This window comes from Homo sapiens, chromosome 11, assembly GCF_000001405.40.
Source record: "Homo sapiens chromosome 11, GRCh38.p14 Primary Assembly".
Classification (NCBI taxonomy): Eukaryota; Metazoa; Chordata; class Mammalia; order Primates; family Hominidae; genus Homo; species Homo sapiens.
This window is the reverse complement of record NC_000011.10, coordinates 50,065,863-50,088,907: the sequence shown is the minus strand read 5'-3', so window position 1 is coordinate 50,088,907 and position 23,045 is coordinate 50,065,863. Positions and strand designations below refer to the sequence as shown.

Here is a 23,045-nt window from a genome sequence, read left to right as displayed (position 1 = left end):
TGCTCACTGCAACCTCCACCTGCCAGGCTCAAGAAGTTCTCCTGCCTCAGCCTCCCGAGTAGGTGGGACTATAGATATGTACCACCACACCTGGCTAATTTTTGTGTTTTTTTGTAGAAATGGGGTTTCACCATGTTTCCCAAGCTGGTCTCAAACTCCTGAGCTCAAAGTGATCCACCCGCGTTGGCCTCCCAAAGTGCTGGGATGACAAGTGTGAGCCACTTTGCTCATTCTAGTTTAAACTTTTGAGTGGTTTGTGTCTCCTGATTGGACTCCTACAAATACAGAATTTATGCTAGGAAGGGTCCCAGGAGATAGACCCACACAGATGGAATTTGGGCATAGGTTCGGTTATCCAAGGAGCAGTGCTAAGCTCCTTGTCAATGGGACATGGGATGCTGGTAATTTCCAGGAAGTGACCTCACAATGACTCAAGCTATCACTTACTGTTGATTGTGATGAAATGCCAGGTGAGGCATAAGCCCTGTGAGCTTAGAGTTGCTACACTTGACCACTGTGGCAGTCAAGATGACTCTGAAGAATGGCATGGGATGGATCCTTTTGAATGCACTTGAGCAGGGAACTCCAACCACAGGGTCACAGAGCCGGAGGTGAGCAACAGGTGAATGAGGGGAAACTTCTTCTGTATTTCTAGCCCTCCCATCACTTGCATGACCACCTAAGCACCATGTCCTGTCAGATCAGCAGCAGCATTAGATTCTCCTAGGAGCATGAACCCTGTTATGTGCATGTGAGGGATCTAGGTTTCACTCTCCTTATGAGAATCTAATGCCTGATGATCTGTCACTGTCTCCCATCACCCTAGATGGACAGTCTAGCTGCAGGAAAACAAGCTCAGAGATCCCACTGAGTCTGCATTATAGTGAGTTGTAGAATTATTTCATTATATATTACAGTGTAGTAATAATAGAAATAAAGTACACAATATATGTAATGTACTTGAATCGTCCTGAAATCATTTCCTTCACCCCCAGTCTGTGGAAAAATTGTCTTCCACACAGTCACTCAGTTTTTTTTTTTTTTTTGGTAGAGACAGGGCCTTAATATGTTGCCCAGGCTGATCTCAAACTGCTAGCATCGAGTAATATATCCCTCTCAGCCTCCCAAAGTGTTGAGATTATAGGCATAAGCCACCATGCTCAACCAAGACTGAATTTTTTAAACCAAATAAAAATTAAGTGAGATTACCTGAGCCCAGGTGGTTGACGCTGCAGTGAGCCCTGATTGCACCACTGCACTCCAGCCTAGGTGACAGAATGAGACTCTGTCTCAAAAAATTAAAATAAAATAAAATAAAATACAAATTAATCCTTTATGACATTCCCAGTAACTTTCCCTCCTAAGTGTTCCCCCAAGCCTTTTAATTTTGTTAAATTTTCACATACCATTTAAAACGTTTAAGAACGTATGTCTGTCTGTGTCATCCCTCTATTTCAAAAGAATGTCTTTTTGTCACTCTCAGCTGGATCTACCATGAAAGACTTCAGAGTCCAGGAAGAGAGACTGACTGGGCAACATGTTATTCAGGTACAAAAAGGCTTGGAATATGACTCAAAAATGATCAAATAATAGTGCATGCATCATATGCAATGGGAAGCTTTTCTGGAGTGTGAGAGAAGCTTCTAGTTAAGGTGACCTTTGAAGCCAAGTCCTGAAAGGTGAGGAAGAGTTGTATAAGAGTGGGTATGAGAGTGGGGAGGGAAGGGGGAAGTGGAGGGATGGGATGGAGTGAGCTGCCCAGGCAGGGAAACCAGCACTGTAAAGACCTGAACAATGAAGATGGCACTTTTTTTCAGGAAATGGTGAATTAAGTTTGACAGGAATGCTTTGTAGAGACAGTAATTTGCTTGTATGGAATTTTGCCTGAGAGACCCCACTACAGTTTCTAATCTTTTGATGTTATCATCCATCACTGTCCTTGTCAAATGATTTAGAATAGGTATAATGATCACAATAACACCAAGCGTAATATCTTATTAATTCTCACAAAATCACAGGTAGGTGCCACAGTTATCCCCATTTTATGAATGAAATGATGAAGACTTAGGGATAATGAGTGATTTGCGCAAGCTCACTTGGATATTATGACTGAGTCAAATGGTGGATCTCTTCTGACTTCAATGCTTGCTTTGTTCATGAGCACCACATATTGCCTCTCCTATGCAGTTAAGCAGGTAGACAGGTGAAAGAAAAGTCCATGTTTGTCTCTACTTACACATTTCTGATTGAACGTGTGTACCGAATTCTCCAGTGTTCTGGATATTAACTGGGTATTCCACAATTTTATTCTGACACTACCTAGAGTTAACACAGACCCCACAGGCTAGGAGCTCAGTCTCATAAGACTATCCTCACTTCAGATGCCAATGGCAAGTCCTAGGTTGTCACCTGTACTTTTGACCAACCTGTTACAAATCAGGGGTTCCCATGACCCTCTTCTTGGGTTTAATAATTTGCTAGAACAGTTTACAGAACTCAGAACAACAGTTTATTTTCTTTTTCTCTGAGAGACAGGTTCTCATTTTGTTGCACAGGCTGGGTGTGCAATGGTGAAGTTATAGCTCACTGCAGCATCAACTGTCTGGGCTCCAGTGGTCCTCCCACCTCAGCTTCCCTAGTAGCTGAGACTACATGCCTCTACCACCACATCTGGCTAATTTCTTTTATTTTTTGTAGAGATGGGGTCTTGTTGTGTTGCCCAGTCTGGCCACAAATTCCTGGGCTCAAGTGATCCTCCCACCTCAGCCTCTTAAAGTGCTGGGATTACAGATGTGAGCCACCGTATCTGGCCGTTCATTTCTTATTACTGGTTCATTGTAAAGGATACATCTCAGAAATAGTCAATGAAAGACACATACTTGCTGAATGTGGTGGTTCATGCCTGTAATTCCAGCACTTTGGGAGGCCAAGGTGAGGGGATTACTTAAACTCAGGAGTTTGAGACCAGCCTGGGAAACATGGTGAAAACCTGTCTCTACAAAAAATTTAAAAAAAAATAAAAATAAATAACCAGGTGCAATGTTGTGCACCTATTATTCCAGCTACTAGGAAAGCTGAGCCGAGAGGATGCCTTGAGCTGGGGACTGGGGAGGCTTAGGTTGCAGTGAGCTGAGATTGTGCTACTGCACTCCAGCCTGGACAAAAGAGCCAGACCCTGTCTCAAAAGAAAAGAAAGATGCCCAGGGCAAGGTAAGTTAGGAGGGGCACAGATCTCCCATGCCCTCTGTTGAACATGCCACCTTCCCAGCATCTCCTGTGTTCAGCAAGCCCAGAAGCTCTGCAAACCCCATTCAGGGTGTTTATGGAGGCTGTATTATGCAAGCATGATGATTGATAACATCTTTGGCCATTGGTGATTAAGTCAATCTTCAGCCTCTCTTCCTCCTGGAGTTCAGTGCATAAGGCTGAAAGTTCCAAGCATCTAATCATGTGGTTGCCCCCAAAGTTCTTAGAGGCTCTTGTGTTAGAAACCTGGGACCAAGATTAAATATTAAAAACAAAAGATGCTCCTATCATGTCTATCACTGAGGTCTTTGTAAGAGCTTTAGAAGCTCTGTGCCAGGAACCAGGGACAGAGATTAAATATGTATTTCTTTTCTTTTCTTTTTTTGAGACAGAATCTCCCTGTGTCATCCAGGAGGTCATATGATCTCAGGAGGTCATAGCTCACTATAGCTTTGACCTCCTGAGATCAAGCCATTCTCCCACCTCAGCCTCCCAAGTAGCTGGGACTACACATGCATGTTACCCATGACCAGCTCATTTTCATAGAGATGAGATTTAGTTATGTCGCCCAGGCTGATCTCAAACTCCTGGGCTAAAGTGATCATCTCACCTCAGCCTCTCAAGTAGCTGGAACTACAGATGCACACCACCATGTCCGGCTAATATTTATTCTTATTTTTTTTCTAGAGGTGGGGTCTCACTATGTTGTTCAGGCTAGTTTCAAACTTTGGGCTTCAAGTGTTTCTCCTGTCTTGACCTCCCAGTGTTGGGATTATGGGTGGGAGCCACCATGCCCAGCAATCACAAGGATCTTTATAAAAGAAAGAGGGTCAGAGAATCAGAATTGGAGCAGGAGATGTGGTGATGGAAGCAGAGGTCAGAGAGGGAGATTTGAAGATGCATCACTTCTGGCTTTGAAGATGGAGTCAGGGGCCATGATCCAAGAATGTGGGTGGCTTCTAGAAGCTGGAAAAGCTAAGGGAAGACTTTAGAGTCTCCAGAAGGAATGCAGCCCTGCTGACACCTTGACTTTAGCCTTAATAGACCTATTTTGGGCTTCTGGCCCCCAGAACTGTAAGATGGTAGATTTGTGGTGTTTTAAGCCACTAAATATAGGAAACTACAAACTGTTGCAGCAGCAAGAAAAAATGAACACGTAGCCAGTTATGGTGGCTAATGCCAGTAATCCCAGCACTTCAGGAATTTAGACAGGAGGATCACTTGAGGCCAGGAGTTCAAGACCAGCCTGGGCAACATGGAGAGACCTTGTCTGTATGAAAAATAAAAAAATTGGCTGGGCACGGTGGCTCATGCCTGAAATTTCAGCACTTTGGGAGGCCAAGGTGGGTGGATCACCCCTGAGGTCAGGAGTTTGAGAGCAGCCTGGCCAACATTGTGAAACCTTGTCTCTACTAGATATACAAAAACTAGCCAGTCGTGGTGACACACACCTGTAATTCCAGCTACTTGGGAGGCTGAGGCAGGAGAATCACTTGAATCCAGGAGATGGAGGTTGCAGTAAGCTGGGATTGCACCATTGCACTCCAGCCTGGGCAAGAAGAGTGAAGCTCCATCTCAAAATTAAAATAAAATAAAATAAAAAAATAAAATACTAAAATAATGAGCCAGGAATGATAGCATGCACTTGTAGTCCCAGCTACTAGGGAGGCTGAGGTGGGAGGACCACTTGAGCCTGGGAATTTGAGGTTACAGTGAGCTGTGATTGTGCCACTGCACTCCAGTCTTGGTGACAGAGTGAGATCTTGTGAAAGACAGAAAGAATGAGAGAGAGAGACCAACAGACAGAAAGAAAGAAAAAGAAAGAGAAAGAAACAAAAAAAAATAAAGAAAAAGAAGACATGAGCATGGTAGGCATGGGGACAGATGGCAATGTTAAATAGAATGGTCAGGGGTCACCTCCTAAGTGAAAATTGAGCAAAGACTTGAAGGAGGGGAAGGAGTTGGCCAAGGTGCTGAGGGAAGAGGATTATAGGCAGAAACAACAGAATAAAGTGTCTGAGGTGTGTCTGAGGCTCTGGAAGGAGGCCAGTGGAGCAGAAGGATAGAGGGAGAGAATTAGAGGACGGAATCAGTACACATCGCATAAGCCCTGGGAGGTTATTGCTGGGGCTTTGGCTTTTACTCTGACTGAGATGGGAACTGTGGGAGGGTTCTGAGCAGAGAGGTGACATGATCTGTCTCCCGATTTAAAAGCATTCTCTGGCTGCTGAGTTGAGAAAGACTGTGGGAAGATTTGGGTAGAAGCATGGGGGCCAAGCTGTGACAACATCCAGGTGGGAGATGATAGTGGTCCTGACTAGGGTCATGGTGGTGGTGAGAGATGGTCAGAGGAGAGAAGTAGGGGAGAAGGCCAGGGAGTTGCTGGGGGGGATCTTCAGTACATGTTGAAGACAGTCAACAGGATTTCCTGACAGACTGGATGTGAGGTGTGAGAGAAGGCAGAGGTCAAGGTTGAGTTTGATTCTTACTGAATTATTAAGTAATTTTAAAAAACACTACTGCCTTTCTCAATCCTACCGAGTATGGGATGCTAGATTAAAGAAATCTCTTCATTCTCAGTGCAGTGGCTCATGCCTGTAGTCCCAGTTGTTTGGGAAGCAGAGATGGGAGTTTATTTTAAGAGCTGGAGTTCAAGACAAGCATGGACAACATAGCAAGACCTCCTCTCTACAAAAATGTTTTTCAAAATTTAATAAAATAAATGTAGCTAGCATGGTGATGTGTACTTGTAGTCCCAGCTACTCAGGAGGGTGAGATGGGCAGATCTCTTGAGGTCAAGAGTTTGAGGCCAGCTTGGGCAATATAGCAAGACCACTCACTCTACAAAAAATTTAAAAAATAGCCAGGTATGGTGGCACTCAACTGTAGTACCAGCTACTGGGGAGCTGAGACAGGAAGATGGCTTGAGCCCAGGAGATTGAGGCTGCAGTGAGCTATAAGTACACAACTGCACTCCAGCCTGGAGGACAGAGCAGGACCTGTCTCACAGTACAAATAGAAATACAAGTAAAAAAATGAAATCTGAAGTCAGAGCCTTTTGTCTCTGCAGCCGTTGCAACCCTGGAGCCATGGAGTAGGGTTTGTGTCTCTGGGAATGAGGAGACCCCTGCCCAGTGTTGTTGCCTGACTAATTGGTGTTTCTAAAAATGTATTAATTGGGGTGGGTGTGGTGGCTTATGCCTGTAATCCCGGTACTTTGGGAGACCCAAGTGGGTGGATCACCTGAGGTCAAGGGTTCTAGACCAGCCTGGCCAACATGGTGAAACCCCATTTCTACTAAAAAAAAAATACAAAAATTAGCCGGGCATGGTGGTGGGCACCTGTAATCCCAGCTACTTGGGTGGCAGAGGCAGGAGAATCACTTGAGCCCAGGGGGCGGAGGTTGCAGAGAGCCGAGATTGTGCCACTTCACTCCAGCCTGGGGAAAGAGCGAGACTCCGTCTCAAAAAAAAAAGTATTAACGTAATGATTTTATTATTAGTATGTAATGAATATTAAATACTTTTAAAATTTTGTATTATATCAACATGTAATGGTTTTATAATATTTATAAAATTTATAATATTTTTAAAATTTTGTCATATTTTCTAATTTTAATACATTTGTATAAAGAAACAGTCTTAGGGATCTTCAATAAAGTTAAAAAATGTAAAGGGGTGCTAGACCCCAAAAGATAGACCCCAAAAGACTGAGAACTTCTAGTTTAGAAATATTCAGAGTAAGCCACATACAACTTGTTACTTAATCTATTTTCTTTCTTTTTTCTTTTAGGAGATGGCGTCTCACCCTGTCACCCAGGCTGGAGTGCAGTGGTGCCATCACAGCTCACTGCAGCCTTGAACTGCTGGGCTAAGGATCCTCCTGCCTCATCCTCCCGAGTAGCTGGGACTGTAGGTATACATGATGACACCTGGCTAATTTTTAAATTATTTTGTAGACATGGGGTCTCACTTTATTGGTCAGGCTGGTGTCAAACTCTTGGCCTCAGGTGACCCTTCCAACTCTGCCTCCCATCCTAGAGGTATGAGCCACCACAACGAGCACTTGTTCAATTTTCTAAAAAAATAAAAAATTTCTAAAAGCTGTGGGATGATGGCAGGAAAAGTAGAAAAACAGAAAAGTAAGTTCAAATAACTTATTCACACATATTCTTTCGACAGCAAGAGGAACTTTTAGTATATATGTTCCTTACAAACAAACAAAAGGCAAATAAACAATGTTGTATAGGAACTTCAACGCACACTGTACAATATTCCCACTTTGCTGACATCAGTTATGGAAATTCTTTGTGGTTTACTTCACTATCGCTATCAGTATTTTGCTTCTCTGATCATTTTTATCAACTTCCTCATCTGTTAACTTCTCTCCAAGGTGTGTCATATCGTGACAAACTGCTGCTGCACAAACATGGCCAGCGTCTTCTTATTAAACATATAGAATGCTTCCCTAATTTCTTTTTTTACCATATATCTCTGTGTTTTGCATTTTTCTTACCTTTATTGTCAGAGACTCTAGAAAGTCTGTTGTACTAATTTATCATGATTTGCTTCATTAATACATACTTTGCTTATATGGAATTTAGCCCAACAGACCTCATTAGAATTTCTAACTTTTTTGTTTGTTTGTTTGTTTGTTTGTTTCCAAGACAAAGTCTTGCTCTGTTGTCCAGGGTGGAGTGTAGTGGTGCTATCACAGCTTACTGCGATCTCAACCTCCCAGGCTCAAGCTATTCTCCCACCTCAGCCCCCGAAGTGGCTGAGACTATAGGTGCTTGCCGCTATACCCAACTCATATTTGGATTTTTCCTATATGTGGGTTCCAAAGGGGTGACTGCAAAATGTGAGTATGCATGGATTTTGGTATATGCAGAGATAGGTGGCTGGAACTAATCCTCTCTGTATAGCAAGGGATGACTGTATGTGTTTTTACAATTATGCTGTAGGACACATATTTTTCCATAGCCTTTAAAATAATAATTTGTAATGACAGATAATTTTTAATAGAGTGGAATAATAATAATGTTGATAAAAGTAGCAGCTGGCCAAGTGTGGTGGTTCACACCATTAATCACAACACTTTAGGAGGCTGAGGCAGGAGGATGGCTTGAGGCCAAGAGTTTGAGACAGGTCATGGAAACAAAGGGAGTCACCATCCCTGCAGAAAAATACATGAATTAGCCTAGTGTGGTGATGTGTTCCTATAGTCCCAGCTACTTGGGAGACTGAGGTAGGAGGATCACTTGAGCTCAGGGAAGCTGAGACTGCAGTGAGTCATGATCAGGCCTCTGCACTCCAGCCTGGGTGGCAGAGTGAGACCCTGTCTTAAAAAAGTACCAGGTAACATCAAGTGACCTTTTACCAGGTGCCTATAAATATCATAGTTTAATTTCTTATAACTGTTTCTTATTTCACTTAACTACTCTGTCTTCAATTACTCCTAGATTTTCACTGTGTTTGTACAGTTGACATTTTGTTTAGATTGAATTGTCTCCCCAAGGTATTTCCAGAAGTAAGATTACTGTGAGTCATGGTGAATGGACATTCTCATTGCCCTTGATGTAAATGGTCAAGGTTTTGGGTGCCTCTCAGCTATAATCCCAGCCCTTTGGAAGCTAAGGCAGGAGGATTGCTTGAGGCCAAGAGTTGGAGGACGCAGTAGGTGAGATTGTGTCTCTATTATTTAAAAAAATTGCCAAGCTTTACCCTGGAAGGCTTATGTACAATTTAAACACCACTCATAGTATAAGAAAGTGTCCATTTCACTGCACCTTTGCCAGCACAGGGTATTATAATTTAATACTTTTTTCATTATTTTAAATAGATAAAAGACCTCATATTACTTTATCTGTCACATTTCAACATCTTTCCTTAGCTTATTATCTCTATTTCTTTTCTGTCTGTAAATGGTTGTTGTTGTTTTGTTGTTGTTGTTTTGTTCTTTGAGATGGGGTCTTGCTCTGTCACCCAGGCTTGATGACTGTAATGGCATAATCATCACTCACTGCAGCCTTGACCTCCCAGGCTCAAACTACCCTCCCACATCAGCTTCCCGAGTAGCTGGGACTACAAGTGTGCACCACCACTCCCAGCTAATTTTTTTTTCTTTTTTTTGGATAGAGACAGGGTCTTGCTGTGTTGTCCAGGCCGGTCTCTAGCTCCTGGCCTCAAGCAATCCTCCTGCGTTGGCTTCTGAAATTGCAGGAATTTCAGGCATGAGCCACAATGCCTGGCCTGGGCTAGTCCTATATTCTCTAGAGTTCTCTTTACTTTGTGCTAGCCAGTCTCTCATTATGCTGTTCCCCTGTTATAATGAATAATTCTCTGTATTAAATTTTACCACTTTAAACTTTTGAGTGGTTTATGTCTCCTGATTGGACTCTGACTAATATGCTAGGAAGGGTCCCAGGAGATAAACCCACACAGATAGGATTTGGGCATAGGCTTGGTTATCCAAGGGGCAGTGCTGAGCTCCTTGCCAATGGGAAATGAGATGCTGGTGATTTCCAGGTAGTGACTTCACAATGACTCAAGCTACCACTTACTGTTGATAGTGATGAAATGCCAGCTGAGTCACAAGCCTTGGGAGTTAAGTGGTTGCTGCACTTGACCACTATGAAGACTGGTGTGGGAAGGGTCCTTTTGGATGCACTTGAGCAGGGGTCCCCAACCCCTGAGCCATGGAGATGTAAGGAGCCACACAGCAGGAGGTGAGTGGTGTCGAGTGAGGGAAGTTTCATCTGTATTTACAGCCACTCCCATTTGCTCACATTCCTGCCTGAGCTCCACCTTCTCTCAGATCAGCAGCACCATTAGATTCTCACAGGAGCTCATACCCTATTGCGAACCGTACATGTGAGGGATCTAGGTTGCGCTGTCCCTATGAGAATCTAATGCCTGATTATCACTTTCTCCCATCACGCTCAGAGGATGGGACCATCTAGTCACAGGAAAACAAGGTTAACACGCCCACTGATTCTACATTATGATGAATTCTATATTTCATTATATCTTACAACAGAATAGTGGAAATAAAGTACCTAATAAATGTAATGTGCTTGAATCTTTTGGTCCAGCTCCCGCCTCCCAGCAGCCTCTTCAGGCCCAGAACTTTCTCCAATTGGCCTCTACAGACCAAGCTCATGGCTCCCAATGGCCTATTTAGGCCCATACCCTACCTCATGACAGTCTCCGCAGATGAGGCTACTGTATCACGGCAGCCTCCACAGGCCCAACTCCATCATTACAACAGCCTCTTTTGGCCCAGCTCCTGCCTCCCAGCCTTCTCTCCAGGCCCAGAGCTTTCTCAAGTTGACCCCAGCTCCTGCCTCTCATCGGCCTCCCAAGGGCTGGCTTTTGCCTCATGGCCACCTTCCAAGACCCAGCTCCTCCTCTTGAGGTGCACCTTCTGCCTCCCACCAGTCTGTACAGGCCAGCTCTTCTTGAGGCCCACCTTCTGCCTCCCAACAGCCTGTACAGGCCCAGCTCCTGCCTTACAACAGCCTGTTTAGTCCCAGCTCCTGCCTCTGGGTGGCCTATCCAGGCCCAAAATGTCCACAAGTCAACCTCTCAAGGCCCAACTCCTGCCTTCTGTCAGCCTCTCCAGGCCCAGCTGCTGCTTCCAGGTGGCCTCTACAGGCCAAGCTCTTTCTTCTGGCTGTGACTGGGGGCCCAACTTCTGCCTCACAATAACCTCTTTTGGCTCAGCTCCTGCCCAGCTCCTAGTGGCCTTTGTAGGCCCAAAACTGCCTCAAGTCAAGCTTTCCAGGCCCACTTTCTGCCTCCCAATATCCCGGACAGGCCCAGCTCCTGCGTGACAACGGCCTCTCCAGGCCCAGCTCTTGCCTCCCAGCAGACTCTCCAGGCCCAGCTTTTGCCTCATGGATGTCTTCCCCGAACAATTTCCTACCTGCCTCCCAGCAGCCTTGACAGGCCCAGATCCTACCTCACACTAACATCATTAGGCCCAGCTTATGCCTCACGGTGGCCTTTCCAGGCCTAGCTCCTGCCCCCCCACAGCTGTCCATGCCCAAAACTTCCTCAAGTCAGCCTCTTCAGGCACAACTCCTGCTGAACACTGGCCTCTTTAGGCACAGCTCATGCCTCTCAGTGGCCTCTCCAGGCCCAGTTCCTGCATCTCAGCGGCCTCTCCAGACCAAGAACTTTCTCAAGTCCGCCATTCCAGGCCCAACTCCTGCCTCCCATCGGCCTCTACAGGTTCAACTCTGCCTCACAGCAGACTCTCGAGGCCCAGCCTGTGCCTCACCGCAGCCCTGCAGGCCAATCTGCTGCCTTTCAGCAGCCTCAACAGGCCCAGCTCCTGCCTCCCAATGACCTCTTTATACCAAGTTCATGCCTCACATGGCCATTCTGGCCCAGCTTTTGCCTTTTAGCAGCCTCTCCAGGCCCAGAACTTCCTCAAGTGGGACTCTCCAGGCCCAGCTCTTCCTCCTGGCTGCATCTCCAGGTCCACCTCCTGCCTCACAACAACCTCTTTCCACTCAGCTCCTGCCCAGCTCCTGGCGGCCTTTGTAAGCCCAAAATTTCCTCACATCAAGTTCTCTAGCACAACCTTCTGTCTCCCGGTGGCCTGAACAGGTCCACCTCCTGCATGACAGCAGCCTCTACAGGCTCAGCTCTTGCCTCATGGAGGTCATCTCTGGCCAAGTTCCTGCCTGCCTCCCAGCATCCTCAACAGGCCCAGTTCCTGCCTCACACTGTCTTCAATTAGGCCCAGCTCATGCCTCATGGTGGCCTCTCCAGGCCCAGCTCCTGCCTTTGACAGGCTCTCCAGGCCAAAATCTTCCTCAAGTCGGCCTCTCCAGGCTGATCTCTTGCCTCACACTGGCTTATTTAGGCCCAGCTCTTGCTTCTTGGCAGCCTCTCCAGGCCCAGCTCCTGCATCTTGGTGGCCTCTCCAGGCCCAGCTCCTGCCTTCTGTTGGCCTCTACAGGCCCAACATCGACCTCACAGCAGATTCTTCAGGCCCACTATCTACCTCACCGTGTCCCCCCCAAGCCAAGCTACAGTGTTTCAGCAGCCTCTACAGGCCCAGCTCCTGCCACTCAGTGGCCTCTTTAGGCCAAGCTCATGCACCACAAGGACCTTACCAGGCCCAACTTTTGTCTCATGGCAGCCTTCCCTGGCCAGGTTCCTACCTGTCTCCCAGCAGCCTGGACAGGCCCAGGTCCTACCTCACACTGGCCTCTCTACACCCAGCTCATGCCTCATGGTGGCCTCTCCAGGCCCAGTTCCAGTCCTAGGATGTCATCTCCAGGCCCACAACTTCCTAAATTCAGCCTCTCTAGTCCCAACTACTGCCCCCCTTGGCAGCCTCTGAAGGCCCAAAACTCCTCAAGTTGGCCTCTCCAGGCCCAGTTCCTGCCTTCTATTGGCCTCTACAGGCCCAGCCTCTGCCTCATGGTGGCTTCTCCAGGCCCAGCTCTTCCTCCTGGCTGAGTTTACAGGCACAACTGTTGCCTCACAACAACCTCTTTTGGCCCAGTTCCTGCACAGCCCACGGCGGCTGCCATAGGCCCAAAACTTCCTCATGTCAAACTCTCCAGACCCACCTTCTACTTCCTGGTGGCATGTACAGGCCCAGCTTTGACTTGAGAACAACCTCTGCAGGCCCTGCTCTTGCATCACAGGGGCCTCTCCAGGCACAGCTCTTTCCTCATGGCAGCTGCCCTAGGCCAAGTTTCTGCCTGCCTGGCAGCAGCCTCGACAGGCACAGGTCCTCCCTCACACTGGGCTGTTTAGGCCCAACTCATGCCGGTCATTGCCTATCCAGGTCCAGTTCCTGCCTCCTGGCATACTCTCAGAGCTGCAAACTTACTCAAATCAGCAGTTTCAGGCCCAGCTCCTGCCTACTGTTGGCCTCTACAGGCCCAGCCTCTACCTCACAGTGGAACCTCCAAACCCAGCTCATGTCTCACTGTAGCATCCTCAGGCCAAGCAGCTGCCTTTCAGCAACCTCTACAGACCCAGCTCCTGCCTCAAAATGGCCTCTTTAGGCCAAGCTCATGCCCCAGGGTGACTTTTCCAGGCACAGATTTTACCTTTTGCAGCCTCTCCAGGCCTAGAATGTCCTCAATTCAGCATCTCCAGGATGAGCTCATCCTCCCGGCTGTGTCTACGGGCCCATTTCCTGCCTCACAACAACCTCCTTTGGCCCAACTCCTGCCGAGTTGCTGGCAGCCTGTTTAGGCCACAGAATTCTTAAAGTCAGGCTTTCCAGGCCCACCTTCAGCCTCCCGGCAGCCTCTACAGGTCCAGCTATTCGCTCACGGTGGCCTCCAAAAGCCGAGTTTCTGTCTGCCTCATGGCATCCTCCAAAAAGAGCCTTTGCCTCACGGTGACCTCCCCAGGCCACAAATCGGCCTGCCTCCCAGCAGTCTCGACAAGTCCAGGTGCTGCCTCACAATGGCTCCTATAGGCCCAGCTCATGCCAAGAGGAGGAATCTCCAGGCACAGCTCTTGCTTCCTGGCAGCCTCTGTAGGCCCAAATTGTTCAAAAGACGGCTCCTCCCAGCCCAACTCTTGCCTCACATCGGCCTACACAGGCCCACACTCTACCTCACAGTAGACCCTCAAGGCCCACAACTTGCCTCATCATGGCCTCCTCATGCCAAACTCCTGCCTTTCAGCAGCCTTTACAGGCCCAGCTCCTCCCTCTCAATGTCCTTTATAGGCAAGGCTCGGGCCTCCTGGTGGTCTTTTCTCGCCAAGATTTTGCTTTTTGACATCCACTCCAGGCCCAAAACTTCCTCCAGTCAGCATGTCCAGGCCAAGCTCTTCCTCCCAACGGTGTCTGCAGCCCAAAATTGTCCAGAAATCAGCCTCTACAGGCTCATCTCCTGCATCGCAGTGGACTCTGTAGACCAAACTCATGCCTCTCGACACCCTTTCCAAGCTTAGCGTTTGCTTCTTTGCATCCTCTACAGGCCCTGAACTTCCTCTAGTTGGCCTCTCCCGGCCCAGCTCTTCCTCCCAGCGGACTCTGCAGGCCAAAATAGTCCTCATCTCGGCCTCTCGAGGGCCAGCCTCCTGTCTCCTCATGGCTGCTGCAGGCCCAAATTGTCCTGAAGTCTGCCTCTCCAGGCCCAGCTCTTGCCTCTCAATGAACTCTCCAGGTGCAAAACTTCCTCAAATCAGCCTCTACAGGACAAGTTCCTGTCACCCGATGGCCTTGTTAGGCCCAGCACACTCCTCACAATGGCCTTTCCAGGCACAGTTTGTTCCTTTTGGTGGCCTCTCCAGGCCCAGAACCACCTCAAGTCGGCCTCCCCAGACCCAGCTGCAGCCTCCCGGTGGACTCTGCAGGCCCAAGTTGTCCTCAAGTTGTCCTCCCCTGTCCCAGCTCTTGCCTCTCAGTGGCCTCTCCAGGTGCACAACTTCCTCCAGTCAGCCGCTCCAGACCCAGCTCCTCCTGCCTCCCAATCGCCTCTTTAGGCCCAGCCCAGCTCATGCCTCTCGGCAGCCTTCCCAGGCCCTGCTTTTGACTTTTGGTGGCCTCTTCAGGCCCAGAACTTGACCTCCAGTCGGCATCTCCAGGCCCAGCCTCCTGCCTCCCGAGGGCCTGTATACAGGCCCAGCTCTTGGCCTCACTGCGGCCACCCCAGTCCAAAGCTCCTGCCTTCTGGCACCTTTGACAGGCCCAGCTCCTGCCTCCTGATGGCCTCTTTAGGCCCAGCTCACTCCTCTCAATGGCCTTTCCAGGCCCAGTTTGTCCACTTTGGCAGCATCTCCAGGCCCAGAACCTCCTCAAGTCTGCCTCTCCAGACCCAGCTGCAGCCTCCCGGCATCCTCTCTAGGCCCAGCTCTTCCTCCCGGCTGTGTCTACAGGCCTGGCTCCTGCCTCACAGCAACCTCTTTGGACTCAGCTCCTGCCCAGCTCCTGGCAGCCTTTGTAGGCCCAAAACTTCCCCAAACCAAGCTCTCCAGGCCCAGCTCAGGCCTCACAGTGGCCTCTCCAGGCTCAGCTCCTGCCCTCCGATGGTGTCTTCGAGCCCCCAAACTTCCTCCAGTCAGCTTCTCTAGGTCCAGCTTGGGCCTCCCGGCAGCCTCTGTAGGCCCAAATCATCCTGAAGTCAGCCTCTCTAGGCCCATCTCTGGCCTCCCGGCAGCCTCTCCAGGCACAACACATCCTCAAGTGGGCCCCTTCAGGGCCAGCTCCTGCCTCCCATTGGCCTCTAGAGGCCCAGCCTCTGCCTCCCTCCTGGCAACCTCTCCAGGCCCAGCTCTTCCTCTTCCTCCTGGCTGAGTCAACAGGCCCAACTCCTGCCTCACAACAAACAACCTCTTTGGGCTCAGCTCCTGCCCAGCTCCCACCAGCCTTTGTAGGCCCAAACCTTTCTCCAGCCAAAATTCTGTAGGCCCACTTTCTGCCTCCCTGTGGCCTTCACAGACCCAGCTCTGACTGGAGTGCAACCTCTGCAGGCCCCGCTCTTGCCTCCCAGGGGCCTCTCCAGGCCCAGCTCTTTCCTCATGGCAGCTTCCTGGGACCAAGTTCCTGCCTGCCTCCCAGCAGACTCAACAGGCCCAGCTCCTCCCTCACAGCGGCCTGTTTCAGCCCAACTCATACCTCTTGCAACCCACCCAGAGGTGTGAGCTCCTGCCTCACACTGGCCTCTCTGGGCTGAGGTCTTCCCCCACACTGGCCTGTTGAGGCCCAGCTCATGCCTCTCGTGGCCTCTCCAGGCCCAGCCCCTGCCTGTTGGCGCCCTCTCCAGGCCCAGCCTCCACCTTGCAGTAGGCCCTCCAGGCCCACCTCTTGCCTCGCTGTGGCATCCTCGGGCCAAGCTCCTGCCCTTCCACAGCCTCTGAAGGCCCAGCTCCTGCCTCCCAGTGGCCTCCGTAGGTCAAGCTCATGTCTCAATGGTGGCCTTTCCAGGCCTAGCATTTGCTCCTTTGCATCCTTTCCAGTTCCTGAACTTACTCCAGTTGGCCTCTCCAGGCCCAGCTCTTCCTCCTGGTGGCCTCTGCAGGCCCAATTTGCCCTCAAGTCAGCCTCTCCAGGGCCAGCTCCTGCCTCCCGGTGGCCTCTGCAGGCCCAAATCGTCCTCAAGTCGGCCTCCCCCAGCCCAGCTCTTGCCTCTCAGCAGCCTCTCCAGGTGCACAACTTCCTCTAGTCAGCCTCTCCAGGCCCAGCTCCTCCTGCCTCCCAATCGCCTCTTTAGGCCCAGCCCAGTTCATGCCTCTCTGTGGCCTTCCCAGGACCCACTTTTGACTTGTGGTAGCCTCTTCAGGCCCAGAACTTGACCTCCAGTCGGCCTCTCCAGGCCTAGCCTCCTGCCTCCCAAGGGCCCTTATACAGGCCCAGCCTCTGCCTCACAGCAGACTCTCCATGCCCAGCTCTTGGCCTCACTGTGGCCACACCAGTCCAAAGCTCCTGCCTTCTGGCACCTTCGACAGGCCCAGCTCCTGCCTCCCGATGGCCTCTTTAGGCCCAGCTCACTCCTCACAGTGGTCTTTCCAGGCCCAGTTTGTCCCCTTTGGCGGCCTCTTCAGGCCCAGAACCTCCTCAAGTTGGCCTCTCCAGGACCAGCTACAGCCTCCTGGCATCCTCTCCAGGCCCAGCTCTTCTTCCCAGCTGCGTCGACAGGCCCAACTCCTGCCTCAGAGCAACCTCTTTGGACTCAGCTCCTGCCCAGCTCCTGGTGGCCTTTATAGGCCCAAAACTTCTTCAAGTGAAGCTCTCTGGGTCCAGCTCAAGCCACATGGTGGCCTCTCCAGGCTCAACTCCTGCCCTCTGATGGTGTCTCTGGGCCCCCATACTTCCTCTAGTCAGCTCCTCTAGGCCCAGCTTGGGCATCCTGGCATCCTCTGCAGGCCCAAATCGTCCTGAAGTCTGCCTCTCCAGGCCCAGCTCCGGCCTCCCGGCAACCTCTCCAGGTGCAATGCATCCTCAAGTGGGCCCCTTCAGGGCCAGCTCCTGCCTCCCATTGGCCTCTAGAGGCCCAGCCTCTGCCTCCCTCCTGGCGGCCTCTCCAGGCCCAGCTCTTCCTCTTCCTTCTGGCTTCATCGACAGGCCCAACTCCTGCCTCACAACAAACAACCTCTTTGGGCTCAGCTCCTGCCCAGCTCCTGCCAGCCTTTGTGGGCCCTCCATGCCCACCTTTTGCCTCGTAGGCCCAAATCTTCCTCAAGTCTCCAGTCTCGGCTCCAGCCTTTTGTGGGTCTCTTGTCACAAAACTTCCTCATGTCGGCCTCTCTACGTTTAGCTTTTGCCTCCCGTTGACCTTTTTAGGACCAAAGCTTCCTCAAGCCGGCCTCTCCAAGCCCAGCTCCTGCCTCCCGTCTGCCTCTACAGGTGAAAAACTTTCTCCATCAGCTTCTCCAGGCCCAGCTCCTGTCTTTGAGTGTTTTTTTTTTAGACCCAAGCCACCTCATGCTTTTACCTTTCAAATGCCTGTAGTGGCCCAGCCTCTGCCTAACAGCGCACTCTCCATGCCCAGCTCTTGCCTCACTGTGGCCTTCCCAATCCAAAACTCCTGCCTTTCAGCAGCTTCGACAGCCCCAGCTGCTGCCTTCAAATGAGCTCTTCAGTCCCACCTCATTACTCTCAATGGTCTTTCCAGGCCGAGTTTTTTCCTTTTGGCCACCTCTGTGGACCCAGGATTTTCTCAAGTCTGCCTCTCCAGTCCCAGTTGCTGCCTCCCAGTGTCCTCTTCTGGCCCATCTGTTCTTCCCAGGTGCATCTACCAGTTCAGCTTTTGCCTCACAACAACCTCTTTGGACTCCGCTCCTGTCCAGCTCCTGGCAGCCTTTGTAGACCCAAAACTTTCTCAAGTCCAGCCCTCCAGTTTCACTGCCTTCCTTGTGGCAGCCTGAACAGGCCCAGCTTTTGCCTGACAATGGCTTCTTAAGGCTGCCTCAATAGACCCAGCTTCTGCCTCACACTGGCCTCTCTAGGCCCAGCTACTGCCTCTCACTATCCTCACCTGGCCCATCTCTTTCCTCACGTCTGCCTCCCAAGTCCCAGCTCCTGTCTCACTGTGGTCTCAGTTATACCAGCTCCTGTCTCACGATGGCCTCTTCTGGCCCATCTTTGGCCTCATAGTGGCCACTCGAATCCATCTTCTGCCTCCTAGTGTCCTCTTCTGGCTTTGCTCTTGCCTCACAGTCACCTCTTCTGGATCCAGCTTTTTAGTCTTTGATGGTCAACAGCATCAAGGAGCCTAAAGCTTCCCTGGACTCTTATTTGTTGGTAACTTCAGAGCAGATTGCCTTAGCAAAACACCTGTCTCTTCTTTTAATCTTGACAGTGGATTTCTGACAAACTTATAATAAATTCTGCCTGTGTGCTTTCATAGTGATTTTTGTTTTATTTAGTGTCTCATCTTTTTTTGTCTTCTTTGGGTGGCAATGGGAATGAGCCTTTGCTTGGGCCCTTTTTCTTCACTCTGGACATGGCAGCTTCTCACTTCATGTCTTCTATATTTATATTTTTTACAGTTATCTTTTTTGTTTTGTTAGGGTCTTGCTCTGTCACCCAGGCTAGAGTGTAGTCGTGTGATCATGGCTTACTGCAGCCTTGGGCTTTTGGCCTGAAGTGATTCTCCCAACCCAGCATCTTGAGTAGCTGATACTACAGGCACAAGCCACCATGCCTGGCTAATTTCTGATTTTTTTCTGAGAGGTTGGTTCTCACTATATTGCCCAGGCTGTTCCAAGACTTTTGGACAAAAGTAATCCTTTTGCCTGAGCCTCCCAAATTGCTGCGATTACAAGCATGAGCCACTGTGCCTGGCCTGCTATTTGCCTGTCATGAACTATTAAGAATTTATTTTTTGATTAATATAGTATTTCTGTATAGATTTATGTATATATAGATATTTTAAATTTTTCATGGATACCAATTTTTTCCCTTTTTTTGAGGCAAGGTACCACTTTTTCAGGATGGAGTGTGGTGTTATTATCCCAGCTCACTGCAACCTCTTCTTTCTTGGCTTAAGTGATCCTCCCACCTCAGCCTGCTGAGTAGCTGGGACCCCAGGTATGAGCCACCATGCCCAGGTAATTTTTATATTTCTTGTAGAGAGGGGGTCTCACCATGTTTCCCAGGCTGGTTTCAAACTCCTGGGCTCAAGCCATCCTCCCCCCTCAGCCTCTTGCAGTGCTGGGATTACAGGTGGGAGGCACGATATCTGGCCTACCATTTTCTTTTCATGGATTATTAAGAATTTCCTTTATGCCAGCACCGTGGCTCATGCCTGTAATCCCAGCACTTTAGGAGGATGAGGTGGGTGGATTACATAGTCAGGAGTTCAAGACCAGCCTGGTCAATATGATGAAACCCCGTCTTTACTAAAAATACAAAAATTAGCCAGGTGTGGTGGCAGGCATCTGTAATCCCAGATACTCCGGAGGGTGATGCGGGAGAATTGCTTGAACCTGGGAGGCGGAGGTGGCAGTGAGCTGAGATCATGCCACTGCACTCCAGCCTGGGTGACAGATTGAGACTCCATCTTAAAAAGAAAAAAAAAGAATTTACTTTTTTATTAGTATAGTGTAAATATATAAATATGTGTATACATTCATATGTGAATATATGTGTGTATGTATTTTCATAGCACACACACACATACATTGTGAAAGAGATATTTGAATACCTAGACATTGATAAGCTTCTTCCAGGTTTCAAAACCACCCTTAGCACAAACACAAAAGTACAAACTGTCATTATTAATGACCATGGACCAAGATGACCATGAGTCAATAGTACTTTGCACCTCAACCACCTTCCAGCAGAGCATCTCAAAGGGCTGGATATATCTGAACACCACACCCTTTCACATAGACTTTGATGGTTTGTAATTATTACTTCTTTTAAGACCTCAGTGTGATCCTTGTCAGGGTGAAATCAAACTATTTCTCAAATCGTAGATACTGAATAACAGCTTTGGTCAGGAAATAGGTATTACATTTGGTTTGTCATGACAAGCTCCTGGCCTAGGCAGATGGAATATAGCAGAAATCTGTGTGTGTGTGAACATTCTTGTGCACCGATGTTGGGGTGGAAGTGGGGGGCTGTTGAATTTGATAAAACCAGCAGGGGGCAGGCTGCTGGGAAGAGGGAACTTATTTTGGCAGCTGCTGTGTAACTCTAGAATTAACAAATGCTTGTAATCCACAGTTTCATCTCCTGGAAAATAAAGATTATAATTCCTGCCTTGATATGTGGGCTAGGTGATCCGCTCTATGCAAAATATCTAGTATATAATAGGTGCTGAATTAATACTACTTTCTGTGCCTCATTCTTAATTACTGCTTAATTTTAAAAAGTTTAGAATGGCTACTGCTTTTGTAAAAATTATTTGTAATTATTATATAAAATCTAAGTCCTATAAAATTATACAGCATGCTGGGTGCTATAGCTCACACCTGTAATCCCAGCACTTTGGGAAGGCAGGGTAGAAAGATTGCTGAAGGCCAGGAGTATGAGACCAGCATGAGGAATATAGCAAGATTTCATCTCCATAAAAACTTAAAAACCAGTTATGGTAATGTGCACCCTTAGTCCCAGCTACTCGGGAGGCTGAGGCAGGTGGATCACGGAACCCAGGAGTTTGAGACTGCAGCCTGGGTAACAGAGTGAGATCCTGTCAGAGAGAGGGAGTGGGAGAGAGGGAGAGAAACAAGTACAAACAAGCAAGTAATAAATAATAATGGAATTTTCAACCACCAAGAAATAACTCAACATTATGTGGTATGTCCAGGCCTCATAGCTCATGCCTGGCTGAGACACGAGAATCGCTTGAGCCTTGGAGACAGAGGTTTCAGTGAGCCAAGATTACACAATTCCAACTCCAGCCTGGGCAACAGAAAGAGATTCTGTCTCGAAAAAAAAAAAAAAAAGGTGATAATTCATACCTCTTTTTGTGCAAATAGGTAGTTAGGTAAGTAGATGTATTAATGGATTAAAAATAACTTTGCCTGGTGCTGTGGCTCACATCTGTAATCCCAGCACTTTCAGAGGCCGAGGCAGGCAGATCACGAGGTCAGGAGATTGAGACAATCCTGGCCAACATGATGAAAACCTGTCTCTACTAAAAATACAAAAATTAGCTGGGCGTGGTGGCAAGTGCCTGTAATCCCAGCTACTTGGGAGGGTGAGGCAGGAGAATCGCTTGAACCTGGGAGGTGTAGGTTGCAGTGAGCTGAGATCGTGCCACTGCACTGCAGCCTGGCAACCAAGCGACACTGTCTCAAAAAAATAGATAACTTTATGTGTTTTATATGTGTTTTAGTTTAAACATATATAATTTTCATTTTGCTTGATACAACAGAAGCTGAAGAAACTAAAGTAAGGTGGGACAATTTCTGAACTTCAGATATGTGAAAGTTATATCTTTTTATTCAACATTCATTAAAATTATGAAAAGAGATAATAAAAGTATCATGATTCTTTTTAACCTGCAGTTTCTATTTTCACCCACAGCAGCTGTATTTTTGGAACTGATTCATGTTTGAGAGTTTCTGTTTAATGCATTTATACTTGGATAACTATTCTTTTTTTTTTTTTTTTTTTTTTTTTTTTTTTTTTTTTGAGACAGAGTCTTGCTCTGTCACCCAGGCTGGAGTGCAGTGGTGCAATCTCAGCTCACTGCAACTTCCACCTCCCAAGTTCAAGCAATTCTCCCACCTCAGCCTCCTGAGTACCTTGGATTATAGGTGTACGCTACCATGCCCAGCTAATTTTTGTATTTTTAGTAGAGACGGGGTTTCACCATCTTGGCCAGGCTGGTCTCAAACTCCTGACTTCAGGTGATCCACCCACCTCAGCCCCCCAAAGTGCTGGGATTACAGGCGTGAACCACCGCACCTGGCCTGGGAGAATATTCTTGATTCATTTTCCTTTTCTTCAGTTCTTCCTTTAAGTTCTGGCTTTATTGTCATCTAGCTCTGGCTGGGGTTATGGAAGGCTCTGAGGCTGGCTGGAGGTTATTCTCACACGCACTTACGTTTTCCTGCCCAAAGGCCATGGGAATACTTTGTTTATCATTGAAATTCAATAGCTTAGCCAGGGTTGGATGGAGGCCAGCGATTCCGTATTAGTTTTTCCAGGTATATGATGTGCCCTTAGACTACTGACTATGTACTTCTCTATCGCTCCATGCAATCTTCTCTTTCTTTTCCCTTTTCTTTTCTTTTCTTTCTTTTTTCTTTCTTTCTCTTTCTCTTTCTTTCTCTCTCTTCTTTCTTTCTTTTTCCTTCTTTCCTTCCTTCATTCCTTCCTTCTTGTCTTTCTTTCATTTTTTTCTCTCTCTCAATAGGAAAAAAAGTCTAATAATCTGATTTTAACATGGGCAAAAGATCAGAATACACATTTCTCGAAAGAAGACATAAATGATAAATGGGTATATGAAAATGTGCTCAACATCATTGATCATCAAAGAAACAGAAATCAAAACTACAATGAGCTATCATCCCACCCCAGTTAAAATGGCTTATATCCAAAAGACAGGCAATAACAAATGCTATTCAGGATGTGGAGAAAAGGGAACCCTGGTACACTGTTGGTGGGAATGTAAATTAGTACAACCACTATGAAGAACGGTTTGGAGGGTCCTCAAAAAGCTAAAAATAGAGCTAATTCATAATCCAGTAATCCTACTGCTAAGTGTATACCCCAAAGAAAGAAAATCAGTATATCGAAGAAATATCTGCATTTCTATATTTATTGCAACACTATTAACAATAGCCAAGATTTGGAAGCAATCTAAGTGTCCATCAACAGGTGAATAAATAGAGAAAATGTGGTACATATACACAATG

General features: G+C 48.0%; 1 long non-coding RNA gene and 1 pseudogene across 2 annotated transcripts; both read left to right on the top strand.

Annotated features, from left to right (window-relative positions):
- The first annotated feature begins 430 nt into the window (after positions 1–430).
- LOC101060224 (uncharacterized) lies at positions 431–7,339 on the top strand. Of its 2 annotated transcripts, none has more exons than XR_931261.3 (3): positions 431–611; positions 1,484–1,548; positions 7,039–7,339. It is a non-coding gene; the product is annotated as an uncharacterized LOC101060224 (long non-coding RNA). The 2 variants fall into 2 exon arrangements; XR_931262.2 differs by having other exon boundaries at positions 431–622.
- A 647-nt stretch (positions 7,340–7,986) lies between these two features.
- Positions 7,987–18,577, top strand: LOC124902810 (putative uncharacterized protein FLJ44672; annotated as a pseudogene).
- The last annotated feature ends 4,468 nt before the right edge of the window (positions 18,578–23,045 follow it).